The 13,940-nt window shown below is 36.1% G+C and overlaps 1 long non-coding RNA gene across 2 annotated transcripts in view; it reads right to left on the reverse strand.

Annotated features, from left to right (window-relative positions):
- Window positions 1-3,414: 3,414 nt before the first annotated feature.
- The window catches only part of LINC02759 (long intergenic non-protein coding RNA 2759), a 28,093-nt gene continuing 17,567 nt past the window's right edge, over window positions 3,415-13,940 (reverse strand). Inside the window, exons 4-5 of one of the 2 annotated variants that reach the window (NR_120555.1) lie at window positions 4,855-5,021; window positions 3,415-3,463 (exon numbers count right to left, since the gene is read on the reverse strand). This is a non-coding gene — a long non-coding RNA (long intergenic non-protein coding RNA 2759). The other variant, NR_120554.1, reaches the window with a different exon arrangement.

Consider the following 13,940-nt stretch of genomic DNA (forward strand, 5'->3'; position numbering starts at 1 on the left):
GTCTTGACTTGTTGTTGATGGCCGGTGACTGATCAGGGTGATGATTGTTGAAGGTTAAAGTGGCTGTAGCAATTTCTTAAAATAAAACAATGATAAAGTTTATCACATCAATTGACTTACTTTCAAGGAAGGTTTCTCTGTAGCATGCAATGATGTTTGATAGTGTTTTATCCACAGTAGAACTTCTTTCAAAATTGGAATAAATCCTCTCTAACCCTGCCTCTGCTTTATCAACTAAGTTTAGGTAATATTCTAAATTATTTGTTGTTATTTCAACAATGTTCACAGCATCCTCACCAGGAGTAGATTCCATCTCAAAAAACCACTTCCTTTCCTCATCCATGAGAAGCAATTTCTCATCTGTTTAAGTTTGATCATAGGATTGCAGCAATTCAGTCACATATTCAGAATCCACTTCTAATTCTAATTTCCTTGCTATTTCCACCACATCTACAGATATTTTCTCCATCATCATGGAGAAACCCCTCAAAGTCATTCATGAGGGTAGAAATGGACTTCTTCAAAACTCCTCTTCATGTTATTTTGACCTCTTCCCATGAACTACAAATGTTTTTAATGACATCTAGAAAAGGGAATTACTTCCAGAAAGTTTTCAATTTCCTTTGCCCAGATCCATAAGCAGAATCCCCATCTATGGCAGCTACAGCCTTATGGAATGCATTTCTTAAATAATAAGACTTAACATTTGAAACTGCTTCTTAATCCAAGGGCTGCAGTTTGAATATTGTATTAGCAGGCATGAAACCAACATTAATCTCCTTGTACATCTTTACCAGAACTCTTGGGTGACTAGGAGCATTGTCAATGAGAGATAATATTTTGAAACAAATCATTTTTTTCTGAACAGTAGGTCTCAATAATGAGCTTGAAATATTCAGTAAACTTCACTGTAACGAGATATGCTATCATCCATCCTTTATTGTTCCCCTTATAGAGCACAGGCAGAATAAATTTAGCATAATTTATTAGGACCCTAGGATTTTCAGAATGGCAAATAAGGATTGGCTTCAACTGAAAGTCGCCAGCTGCGTTAGTCCCCGACAAGACAGTCAGCCTGTCCTTTGAAGCTAGGCTTGACTTCTCTTACCTAGCTATAAAAGTCCTAGATGGGATCTTCTTCCAATAAAAGGCTATTTCATCTACATTGAAAATCTTTTGTTTAATGTACCCACCTCCATCAGTGATCTTAGCTAGGTCTTCTGGATAACTTGCCGCAGCTTCTTCATCAGCACTTGCTGCTTCACCTTGTATTTTTGTGTCATGGAGATGGCTTCTTTCCTTAAACCTCATGAACAAAACTGCTAGCTTCAGACTTTTCTTCTGCAGCTTCCTTGTCTTTCTCAGCCATCATACAATTGAATAGAGTTAGGGCCTTGCTCTGGGTTAGGCTTTAGCTTAAAATAATACTGTGGCTGGTTTGATCTTCTATCCAGATCTTCAAGACTTTCTCCATATCAGCAATAGGGCAGTTTCACTTTCATTTTTCTTTTTTATTGGGGCTGGGGTGGGGGGTGGGGGGGGAGGGGAAGGAGTCTCACTTTGTCACCTGGGCTGGAATGCAGTGGCGCAATATTGGATCACTGCAACCTCTGCCTCTCAGGTTCAAGTGATTCTCCTGCCTCAGCCTCCCAAGTAGCTGGGATTACAGTTGCCTGCCACCATGCCCAGCTAATTTTTTTTTTTTTTCATTTTTAGTAGAGACAGGGTTTCACCATGTTGGCCAGGCTGGTCTTCAACTCCTGACCTCGTGATCCGCCCGCCTCAGCCTTTCAAAGCCCTGGGATTACAAGCATGAGGCACCACACCCGGTCAGCTGTTTCACTTTCTTACCGTCTGCGTGTTCACTGAAGTGGCACTTTTAATTTCCTTCAATAACTTTTCCTTTGCACTCACAACTTGGGTAAGTAACTGGCACAGAGGCCTAGCTTTCCGCTTGTCTTTGCTTTTGACATGCCATCTCACTAAGCTTAATCATTTCTAGCTATTGATTTAAAGTAAGAGACTTGTGACTCTTCCTTTTTACTTGAACACGTAGAGGACATTGTAGAGTTTTTAATTGGCCTAATTTCAATACTTTTGTGTCTCAGGGAATAAGGAGGCCTTAGGATAGGGAGAGACAGGGCAGAGTCTGGTTGGTGGAACAGTCAGAACATACACAACATGTGTCGATTAAGTTTGCCATTATATATACACAGAGTTCCTGGTGCCCCCAAACAATTACAGTGTTAACATCAAAGATCACTGATCACAGATCACCATAATAAATTTAATAATAATGATAAAGTTTAAAATATTGTAAGAATTACCAAAATGTGACACAAAGACATGAAGTGAGCATATGTTGTTGGAAAAATGGCTCTGATAGATTTATTCAATGCAGGATTGCCAAAAACTTTCAATTTGCAAAAAAAAAATACAACATCTGTAAAGTGCAATAAAGTGAGGCCCAAAAACTGAGGTATGCATGTATATTTTCAGTTGGCATGTGGCACAATGTATTTTGTGTTTTAAAAAGTTTACTTTAACTGCAGTGCTAGTAAATGACTTCAGGCAAATAAAAACACCTGCAATTGGAAATATCTGGGCTAAGGTGGTATCAGTAACATCCATAAATTAGTAGATTTGAAACATCTGAGTCTAGGAATGATGGCTCAACTCCTGTTATTCCAGCATTTTGGGAGGTTGAGGCAGGAAGATTGTTTGAAGCCAGGAGTTCCAGACCAGCCTGGGAAACATATTGAGACTCCATCTCTAAAAAAAAAAAAAATTAGCCAGGATGTTAGCATGTGCCTGCAGTCCTAACTACTCTGGAGGCTGAAGTGGGAGGATAGTTTACGCCCAGGATTTTGAAGCTGCAGTGAATGATGATTGCACAACTGCACTCCAGCCTGAGCATCAGAATGAGACCCTGTCTCTAGAAAAATAAAAAGAGAAATAAAATAAAAGTAAACATAATTGAAGAGGCAAAAAATACAGGGATAAGCAATAAAGTGAATATGAAATATTAAAGGGGAGGGAGCTTTCAAGAATGACTCTTAGATTATTAGCTTGCCAAACTATTTTCACCAAAAGTATAGAAAAATATAAGCATATGCAGTATGGAAGTGAGGTTTCAAGATGGCTCCAATAATCCTCACTATTTTAGTGCGGTGACTTCTTGTGCCCTGCCAATTATCCTCACATTCTGGAGACCTGCCTTCTCCTTCTGCATCATGACTGACCTGGGTAACCAATAGAATTCTGTGTAGATAATTTTGCAGCATCCAGCTTTGTCTCTTGGATTTCTCACTCTGGAAGAAGTCACCCGTTGTTATGAGGATACTTAACCCTCAAGAAACGTACTTGTGGAGAGTATCTGAGGACTTCTGATAACTGCCGGCACCGATTAGTCCATCATGTAATTAAGGCACTTTGGAAGAGTATTCTCTATCTGCAATAAAGCCTTCAAATGGTTGCAGTAATGAACAAAATCTGAAGTGAATCTCCTGAGAGTCCTCAAGCCAAAATAATCTAGTCAGGCCATTTTCAAATTTCTTAACTAGAGAAACTGTGAGAGAAAATAAATACATAAAGATTTTTACTAATCCACCCAGTTTGGTGGTAATTTGTTGCATAGCGATAGATAACTAACAAATGAATAAAGTCTGAAACCTTGGCTTCTGGCATATTAAGTTTCAGCTGCTGTCAGGCATCTAAGAGGAAATTGTAAACTGGCAGTTAGATAAATTGAGAGAAGTCTATATTCGTTATGCAAAATAAGGAGTAGTCATCTGCTTATAATTGGTAGTTGAGATCGTCTACAGGGAAAATACAGAATAAGAAATTAGACCTATGAGAGAACTTTGAGGACTCCAACATTTCATGACTGGGAAGAAGAGGATGGGAACAAATAGGAATATGGGCAAGAAATGATGGAGAGAGTAGGAAGAACACAAACTAAGATATTCAGAGGTAAGGGTGATTTAAGGAGGGAATAGCCAATATTATCAGATGTTGATAGGTTATGTGATAAGGAATTTAAAAAGTATTTTGCATTTAGAAACAGATTTGTGATCTTACTGAAAATTGCTTAACTGTAATATCATGGAAGGAAGACAAAGAAAAATGAAGATAGTGGAGAGAGTGAGTGAAAAATAACTTATCTGTTTTATTCAGAAGCTTCAACTCTAATAATTCAAAGTGTTTTCTAATCTGGCCATCCGCAAATCATGCTGGATCATTTTCATGGTTCATTTGTACAATCAAGTAGAGATCAAGTCACATTTATTACTCTTGAATCATGATTTAAAATGATGATCACTTAATATTAAAGCCATCAAAATAAGTAACCCTAATATAAATAGGCAGAGTTGATATTTTGTATTCTTCAGTGTGATCATATAGAAAAAAATACATGCCCAACAGATTCAAAAAGCTTCATAATACTGGGAGAAAAAAATGTAAAAAAAAACCGTAAAAGAATGAGAAAGGAAAATCAAGGAATTATTATTTTCCACAAATTTGGGAGACAGACACATTTGACTAGAAATGAGTGGCAAAATAATCACAAGAGAGAGACAAAAATACATGGGAAATGCAACGTGAATATTCATGAATAGCCATGAATAAGCAAAATGGAGATGTGCCATGATTCAAAGTTAATTTAAAAGAGAGATGCTTAGGAAGAGTGCAATAATATAGCCAAAATGCCACAATGGAATGTTGGGCAATGACAGGCCACAATGATGGTGGTTCCATAAAATTATAATGGAGCTAAAAGATTCCTATCACCTAGTGACATTGTAGCTATAGAAAAGAAATGAGCAGGAGGGCACAGCACAATGAGTTACTCACATCTAGAAATTCCACATGTTGATTCCAAATATAAGAGTAATTATGCCATATAAGAATTGAGTGACTTCATTTCCTTCCTTCTTCATCTGCTACTCATATCACAGCACACTGCTGCTTCACAAAAATCTATACTGCCACCTGCCACAGTGCACCCGGGATCAGCCTCCCTTAAAAATAGAGATGAATATTTGTTATTTCTTTTAATCACTTTTGCAATAAAATGACCTTTATTTTTATTTATTTCCTTATAAAGAGGAAATTTCTTAAATATTTAAGTCCTTATTAAGAGAAATCTTAGCATGAGGCAACTGTAGATCAAAAGTACCATTCTTTTTCTCATATGTAAGTGCAAATAAATTAGATACTTAATAAATAATATGATGGTAATTTAAAGAAAATATAAACTCAGAATTTATATTTAGCCACATGTTGCATTTTGTCATATATTGATAAGCCTGACTACATAAGTCAAATATATTTTTTTGAAATACTCTCTCAGTTTAATACTTAATATGCAAAATAAAGATATATGTGTAGTCATGTGTTACTTAATGCCAAGGATACAGTCTAAAAAATGTACCATAAGGTGATTTTGTCTTGGTGCAAACATCACCAAGTGTACCTACATGAACCTCGATGGTACAGCCCACTACACACCTAGGCTACATGGTACAACCAGTTGCTCCTGTGCTGTAAAGCTATACAGCATGTTACTGTCCTGCATACTGTTGGCAATTATAAAGGTAAGTATTTGTGTATCTAAACATATCTAAATGTAGAAAAGGTACAGTAAAAATACAATATAAAATATATTTTTTAAAAAAGCTATACCGTATAGACCCCGTGAATGGAGCTTGCAGAACTGCTAGCTGCTCTGGGTGAGCCAGTGAGTGAGTGTTTAGTGAATGTGAAGATCTAGGACATTACTGTGCACTACTATATAGTAGATGTATAAAAAAAGTTTCTTTTTCAATAATGTATTAACCTTAGCTTACTGTAAATGTCTAACTTTATAAACTTGATTTATTTAACTTATTTACTCTTTTGTAATAAGAGCTCAAAACACAAACACATTGTACAGCTGTACAAAATATTTTATTTATGTCCTTATTCTATAAGCGTTTTCCTATTTAAAATTCATATATATATACATATATATCTTTTTAAATATTTTTTTAAGAACGAAGACACAAACACATACAGGGTCAGGATCATTCAAATCACTGTCTTTCACCTCCACATTTTGCTTCACTGGAAAGTCTTCAGGGACAATAATCCACATGGAGCTGTCATCTCCTATGACAACAATGCCTTCTTCTGCAATATGTGCTGAAAGTCCTGCCTAAGGTTGTTTTACACTTATGTTCTTTTGTTTATAAGTAGAAGGGGTACACACTAAAATAATGATAAAAGGTAGAGCATAGTAAATACCTAAACCAGTAACATAGTCATTTATTGTAATTATCAAGTATTATATGCTGCACATAATCGTATGTGCTAGACATTTCTACGACCAGCAGAGCAGCAGGGTGTTTACATTAGAAAAAAGTGAGTAATGCATTGTGCCGCGACCTCACAACAGCTACAGTGTCACTAGGTGATAGGAATCTTTGAGCTCCATTATAATTTTATGGAACCACCATCATTGTGGCCTGTCGTTGACCAAAAATGTCATTATGGCATTTTGGCTATATTATTGCACTCTTCCTAAGCATCTCTCTTTTAAATTAACTTTGAATCATGGCACATCTTCATTTTGCTTATTCACAGCTATTCATATTTTATATTTAAAATGATATTTAAAAGTCCATAATGTAGGCATTTAACACATGGCAAGTGTTTGATTTTTGAGCTTTAATAAAACCAATAATTTTTTCTCTAACGTTATTTTTTCAAAGTCAGAGTTCCATAAGTCTAAAGTCTAGAGGTGGGCTTGCCTAAGTTCTATGTTCAGGGTCTTACAAGTTCAAACTCAAGTTGTTCGTCACATGGATTCTCATGGGAGAATTGTTCAAGTTCATTCCATTATTGGCATAATTTAGTTCGTTGCAGGGTATGGCTGAGGTTCTCCTTTGCTTGCTGGCTTTTAGCCAGTGATCCTTCTCAGTTCCTAAAGCCACCAAATTTCTTTTCACGTGGTCCATTGAATCATCAGTTCATCAGCTGTACATCTAGTCCTTCTCATGCCTTAAATCTCTCTGACTTCTGCCATCAGATGAAGAAAGTTCTCTGCTTTTAAGGGCTCATGTAATTATATACAAAAGACCAGGAAGATAATCTCTCTATCTTAACATCAACTGCGACATAAAAACTAATACAATCATGGGAGTTATAGCTCACCATATTCACAGAGAATTGAGTTATTTTTTGGAATCCACTTTAGGAACTCAATTTACCATGCCAGGAAAATACCATGCCAGGAAAAATATATTTTGGATTCCTTCAAAAATAAAAAGCAAATCTACAACAGTTCTTCACCTGAGGCATCTCACCACAGCTGTTTTCCTTACCTATGTTGTCCAAAATATAAGGCCAAGTTATACAGTTGTCCTCTATGTCATTCTCACCACAAATATCTGTCTTTGGGTAGCATTTAATGTTAATCACATTTTGTTGCTTTCCATTAGAGTAATTGTTTACCTCTCTCTCTCCTGTGGAAGATTATTATGTCTACAATCTATCTACATAAGAGTTATGGGCTGTAAATGTATATCTTCTCCCCGGGTGACTATTATATACATAATCTGTTACCTTTTTCCATTAAGCTAATGAATGGTTGACACTTGTGATTAGAACAATCAGGCATCTTTAAATGTTGTCTTAAAAGTAAAAAATTAAAATGGTCCAGAGTCAAACTCACTGAACAACATCTGTTTTGCATTTAGCTTATAAGGTAAGATGTGCCTCTTGCTTTTTACTGAGAGCAGAAGACATTAAATTGATTATAACTTCATTCTTCTTTTATTTTAGTCAAAGCAAACTTCCTGATTCCACAAATTAGACTACAAGCTTTATTTCCTTAATAACTAAAGACAATTTACAAAACAGAGATTTTGGATAGCTTAAATTCTTAGGTACCATTGATTTGTACAAAACAACAAATTTAATCTAAATAAAGACAACACAATTATATATAAATAATAAGTTGGATTCCAGTCATTGGAATCACTCTGTGAAAATGCATTTTTATTCTTTTCAGCAGAATTGGTAGAATTAATGAAAGTGGCAGAATTGATAAAAGGAGATCTAACTAAAGGAGATATTTTAAATGAGCATTCCTTGACTTGAAATTCAGAAGTCTAGTGTAATTTTCAGGTTTGGCATTGAAATATATGAAATACGGGGGATTTCATTGAGATGCTCTAGGTTTGACCTCTCACATGGGCCTCACTCCTATATACATAATCTCCTATGTATATAAATCTCAGCTTTTGCTGAAATTTCTCCATTTTAAACTTCTTCATTCAAGAATCACAAGTTCAGCAATTAAAATTGGCATTCACTCTATAATATTAGCTTTTCTCTCCCTGCACCCGTCTATATTAGTACTACCATAAATTTTTACATACTAAACTAGAAATCTCAGAAAAATGATTGTCTGGATATTTTCCCTCCATCTTCTAAATTCAGTTTCCCATGAAAGCCTGTCCTTGATTGTTTCTGCTTGTACCACTGCACTACCTCAGTCCACTGCTCTATCACCCCAACCCTAAATTACTATAACCATCTGGCAACCAATTCTTTTAACTTCTGCAGTCTCTGTCCATTTAAGCCAGACCAATCCTTATAAAATTCTGATTATATCATATCAGTAGAGGACTCAAGGATTTATTTGGCTCCCCTCTTGGAATCAAGTCCAATTTTCTTCTCTTAACCGTGATGCCCATCTTTCCTTCAATTTCATTATCTACTACTTTTAAAGCATATTACAAATTGTAGTTTTGTTATGTTCTCACTATTCCCATATAAACTTTTTTGTCAGTTTATTGCACCAAACTGCAAAGTTCCATGCTGCTTAATATTCTTTAATTTAAATTATCCCATTTCTTACCTACTGAAATCCTGTTGTTTCAATTTTCCCTACTATATAAAAACTTCAAATTAAAAAAATTGCCTTCTCTTCCCACATACACACATTTTGGCTGTAAGTGTGTATATCCAAACACACACTTACACACACATATTTATCTATATTTATCTAATAGGTTAATAAATGTTAGACTATCTAATGGAACATAACACTACATTCAGCACACCACACATGTATTGTATATATAGTAAGCCCCCAGATACTGATTCAAATATTGGAGTGTGCTAATGCATACATAAACATATTTGAGGCTGGGCACCGTGGCTCACACCTGTAATCCTAGCACTTTGGGAGGCCGAGGCTGGTGTATCACGAGGTCAGGAAATCGAGACCATCCTGGCTAACACGGTGAAACCCCGTTTCTACTAAAAATACAAAAAATTAGCCAGGTGTGGTGGCGGGCACCTGTAGTCCCAGCTACTCGGGAGGCTGAGGCAGGAGAATGGCGTGAACCCGGGAGGCGGAGCTTCCAGTGAGCCCAGATCGCACCACTGCACTCCAGCCTGGGCACAGAACGAGACTCGGTCTCAAAAAAAAAAAAAAAAAAAAAAAAATTTTGAAATTCGATGTGAACATGTTTTGGTTCAGTTAGGATTGACCCCACTTACAACTCTAGGAATGGGCTGTGATACATTTTTTCATCCTAGTCAGTGATTCAAATGTTTATACTTACAGTAGTTAGTTAGGGATCATTACAAAGATTTGTTTAGCACAGTAAAGAGTACATTTTACAATTTAATGTTAATTTAAATTTAAAGTTAAGTTTCTGCCATTTATGAGAAGAAAACTGCAGTCTTATCTGCTAGAAGGTATTGTAGGAAGATGTGAAGTCCCAAGTCATTAGTCATTGTCAGGATCATGATAACAATTGAGAATCATATTTTATTCTTCTATGGAACTTACATTATGTCAGACATTGAGAACTTTGTATTTGTTACTAACTAAATTTTTATAATTATGTGAGGTAGATGCTAGTATTCCACTCCCTTTTGGATAAGGATCCTGGGGCCCAGATAAGGAAACTAAGGCAGTTATAAGAAAGTCAAGGCTGCATAGTGACTCAAATGTAGTAGTTGATTCTAGTCTCAATTACTAAGTGTACTCAATATGGGATGTGTCATCATATGGACTTGTAGTCCTAATGTAAGGATCAGAGGAAAACATAGAGAAGGATTCCTGTAAGACATTAATTTATTGCCTCAAATCTTCCCTGAACCTCCAACCAGTTAAGGCACAAGAACCAGCAGACATCTTATTGTTTATGATTTTTATTTTATTCTGTGTCCTGTTACCTTTACCTGTTCTATTCTGTTTGTTTATGTGTTTGGCAGGTGGAACTCATTATCTTAATATTATCACAGTGTATTCTTCAAGAGAATAGAATATATCTACTATGATCATCAAAAGTTAGGACCTTGGAGGCTCATTGGAAAATAAAAGCATAACCCACAACTGTACCTTCAACAAATGCAATTTTTACGCTTCATGATGATTGTCATTTTTGTGTTTTGATTCAAAGAAGTAGCTGATTGCTCATGATTTTCAAACTCACAACATGATAAATCTTATTTCTATTTTCTTTATATCACCTATTCATAGAGTATTGATAATATAATTAGTACACAGATATTGCAAGGTAAATCATTTAAATACTATTTGCTTTACAACATCATTAGTGATTCAACACCACACAGTATATTTTTCTTACTTAAACACATCAATCCCAGAGGGTTGGATGGCTTGAAAGACTGTTATTGGCAGCTGATTTATCTATCTGCTGTTTGGTTTGTTGGCTTAGGCATTTATTACCTTTAGGTCACTGAGCCTGATCAAATTGTGGTGGGAAGTTGTTATTATAAGATGGGAGTCTCCTTATTTGCATGAGTGACCTGGTTATACTAATAGTGTTCTTTCAAATAAGATATGAACATTAATATTGTGAATGTAGATAGTCGCACTGAGACACTATTTTAGGGTAGTCCATTAAATTAAATTTTCACATCTTTTTCAAGCACACCACCTTTCCCAGGCTGATGAGGGTATTTTAACTGTAGATTAAAATGCTTTCTTGCATATCTGGAGTAGGTCTAAGAAAAAATCATAAAAATATGAGTAATGTCCTTTTTTTAACCACTGCTTTCCAAGCCATTTTCTGCCCTTGTGATAACCTGAGTAATTCCACTACAATTTATTATGATTAAAATAGAATCATTATGTACAATTTTACTCTTTAGTGCACTCTTTTCTGTTACACAGCTTTCTAAATTTGTACAGATGTGTTCTTTTCAAATTATCTTACTAAAGTCACTTAAATACAGTGATACATATTTGGGGCTGTTAATGTTCTGGACAGACATGAAGCATCTAGCTACCTATATATTTAGTTATATTCATTATATTCAGTAAGATATGAGTTCCAGTGCTTGTCATGTAGTGGAAGGTCAGACATATAGCTTTTTATATAATAGAAGTCAATAAATATTTGTTAAAACAATTTCTTATATTGGGCATACATTTGAATGTCATTATTATGAAGTCTATATAATATACTATTATAAATTTTCCTAAACTTTTACTATTTTAAAAACAATAATATATTGAGATAGTTTTAAGTTTTTGCATGTGCTAATTGTACTACTTGACAATTATCCTTTTATGTGACAAGCATCGATCCCTTTTACTTCAGAGTTAAAGAAGCTTCTATTTGGATTAAACTGATAAAGAGATAATTATTTTGTTTTCATTACAGTTTTGTGGTAGGGTGATAAAGCATGGCTTTTTCCCTACATTCTAAAATAATATCACAGACATGGTCGTCTTCCTCTTTGCTTAAAAGAAGCTTTAATATCTATTGTTCCAGATACGAATGCTTCATAATGCACTCATTCAAAGTTTAGTGACATAAATACATGTTCCTTTTATCTCCCAATTAAGTGGGTGAAGAATTCAAGTTGTGCTTACTTGGACAATTCAATTGCTCACTTGGGATTAACTGGGGTGATTTGGAGAAGTTCAGCTAATAATTTTTCTGGTCTGGAATGTCCAAGATGACTTTACACAAATGTGTGGGATCTTGGAGGAGAGAGCTAGCAGGCAGGGCTATCCTTTCCCTGTAATCTTAGTGCCTTTCCATGAAATCTCCAGCAATATAGTCAAACTTATATTTTAGCTCAAGGCTCCACTTAGACCAAGGAAGAAACTATAGGTCCCTTTGAATTCTAAGCCCAAAACTTGTATGGCATCATTTCTTCCACACTGTATTTGTCAAAGCAGTCAGAGACCAATCCAGACTTAAGGGGAGAGGACATAAAACTCACTTTTTGATGCTATTTGTAGTCATCTGTAAGTTACCAGAGTTATAATAACTAAATCTAACATTTTTGTTTTATACTAAGAAAAAAGAATATAAACATTACCTGGAAATGAGACATGTGATATGAACTTCTCAATTTTTAAACTTTGGTCTCATGCAGAGTACAGAAATAGATTGTGTTAAAGAAAGAAGCTCTAGATTTCACCTTTGTGATGGTTACTACTGAGTATTAACTGGATTGGATTGAAGGATGCAAAGTATTGATCCTGGGTGTGTCTGTGAGGGTGTTGCCAAAGGAGATTAACATTTGAGTCAGTGGACTGGTAAGGGAAGACCCACCCTTAATCTGGCTGGGCACCATCTAATCAGCTGCCAGTGTGGCCAGAGTATAAAGCAGGCAGGAAAATGTGAAAAGGCTAGACTGGCTTACCCTCCCAGCCTACATCTTTCTCCCATGCTGGATGCTTCCTGCCCTCGAACATCGGACTCTAAGTTCTTCAGCTTTGGAACTCAGACTGGTTTCCTTGCTCCTCAGCTTGCAGGTGGACTATTGTGGGACCTCGTGATCGTGTGAGTTAACACTACTTAATAAACTTTCCTTTATTTACTTATATATATGTGTTATTAAAATCACTTAAATAATATATATGAAAATATATATACCCTGTTACTTATTTTATATATATATATCCTGTTAGTTCTATTCCTCTACAGAATCCTAATACAAATTTTGGTACCAGGAGTGGTTCTAGAGGAACGGAATATTAAGGATGGAGTTCTTTTTTTGTTTTGGGTGTTTCTGGAGTTGGCTGCTTAATATGACTAGACCCAAAAATGCTAAGGACTGTACTTCTAATAGTATGGAGAACACTGATGGCCCTTGGTGTGACCTGTGTGGAGAGTTATGCAAAATAAATGCATTTGACATTCATGATTCACCGCTCATGAGAGGCAAGAAATTTAGTGACTCTATACATAATACCTTTGACTGTATGTGGAGAACCAAGGAACATATGAAGCTTGTTGGTTGCTCCTAAGTTCATTGGACAAAGTGACAAAAGAAAATGATGAACTCAGGGATTCTAACTCCTGCCTTCAGAAGCAGATACTGAGCCTCAAATCTGCTAAGATTGCCCCGAGTGAGAGTCTTATCTCCTGTAGAGAAAGAGCTGAAGAGCTGAAATTGTAGAAAAGCAGACACAAGCTCTTATCGTGTGAGTGGCTGATCTGCAATGAAAGATGCATGCACAGCTTCACTAGGTGCCTACTGTTAAAGTGAGGGCATTGATTGGAAAAGAATGGGATCCTGCAACTTGGAATGGGGAAATGTGGGTGTATTCTGATGAAGCTGGGGACACTGAGCTTGTAAACTCTGATGAACCTTTTTTGCCAGAAGAAACAGCTTCCCTATCTCCAGTAGTGGCAACATCCCCTCCCCAACCCATGCTGCCATCAGCCTTTCTACCTTTGTCTGAGGAGATAAACCCCGCACTGCCTGAGGTAACAGTAATGGCCTCCCCTGAGGCAGTTGCCTGGCAAAATAATGTTGATTCTCCTCAGGAGCCACCCCCAACACCTCTGTTTGCTTCTAGACCTATATCTAGACTAAAGTCCTGGTGGACCCCTAGAGGTGAGATTGAAAGTGTGACCCATGAGGAGGTGTGCTACACTCAAAAAGAACTG

The sequence above is a fragment of the Homo sapiens genome, chromosome 11, assembly GCF_000001405.40.
Source record: "Homo sapiens chromosome 11, GRCh38.p14 Primary Assembly".
Taxonomy (NCBI): domain Eukaryota; kingdom Metazoa; phylum Chordata; class Mammalia; order Primates; family Hominidae; genus Homo; species Homo sapiens.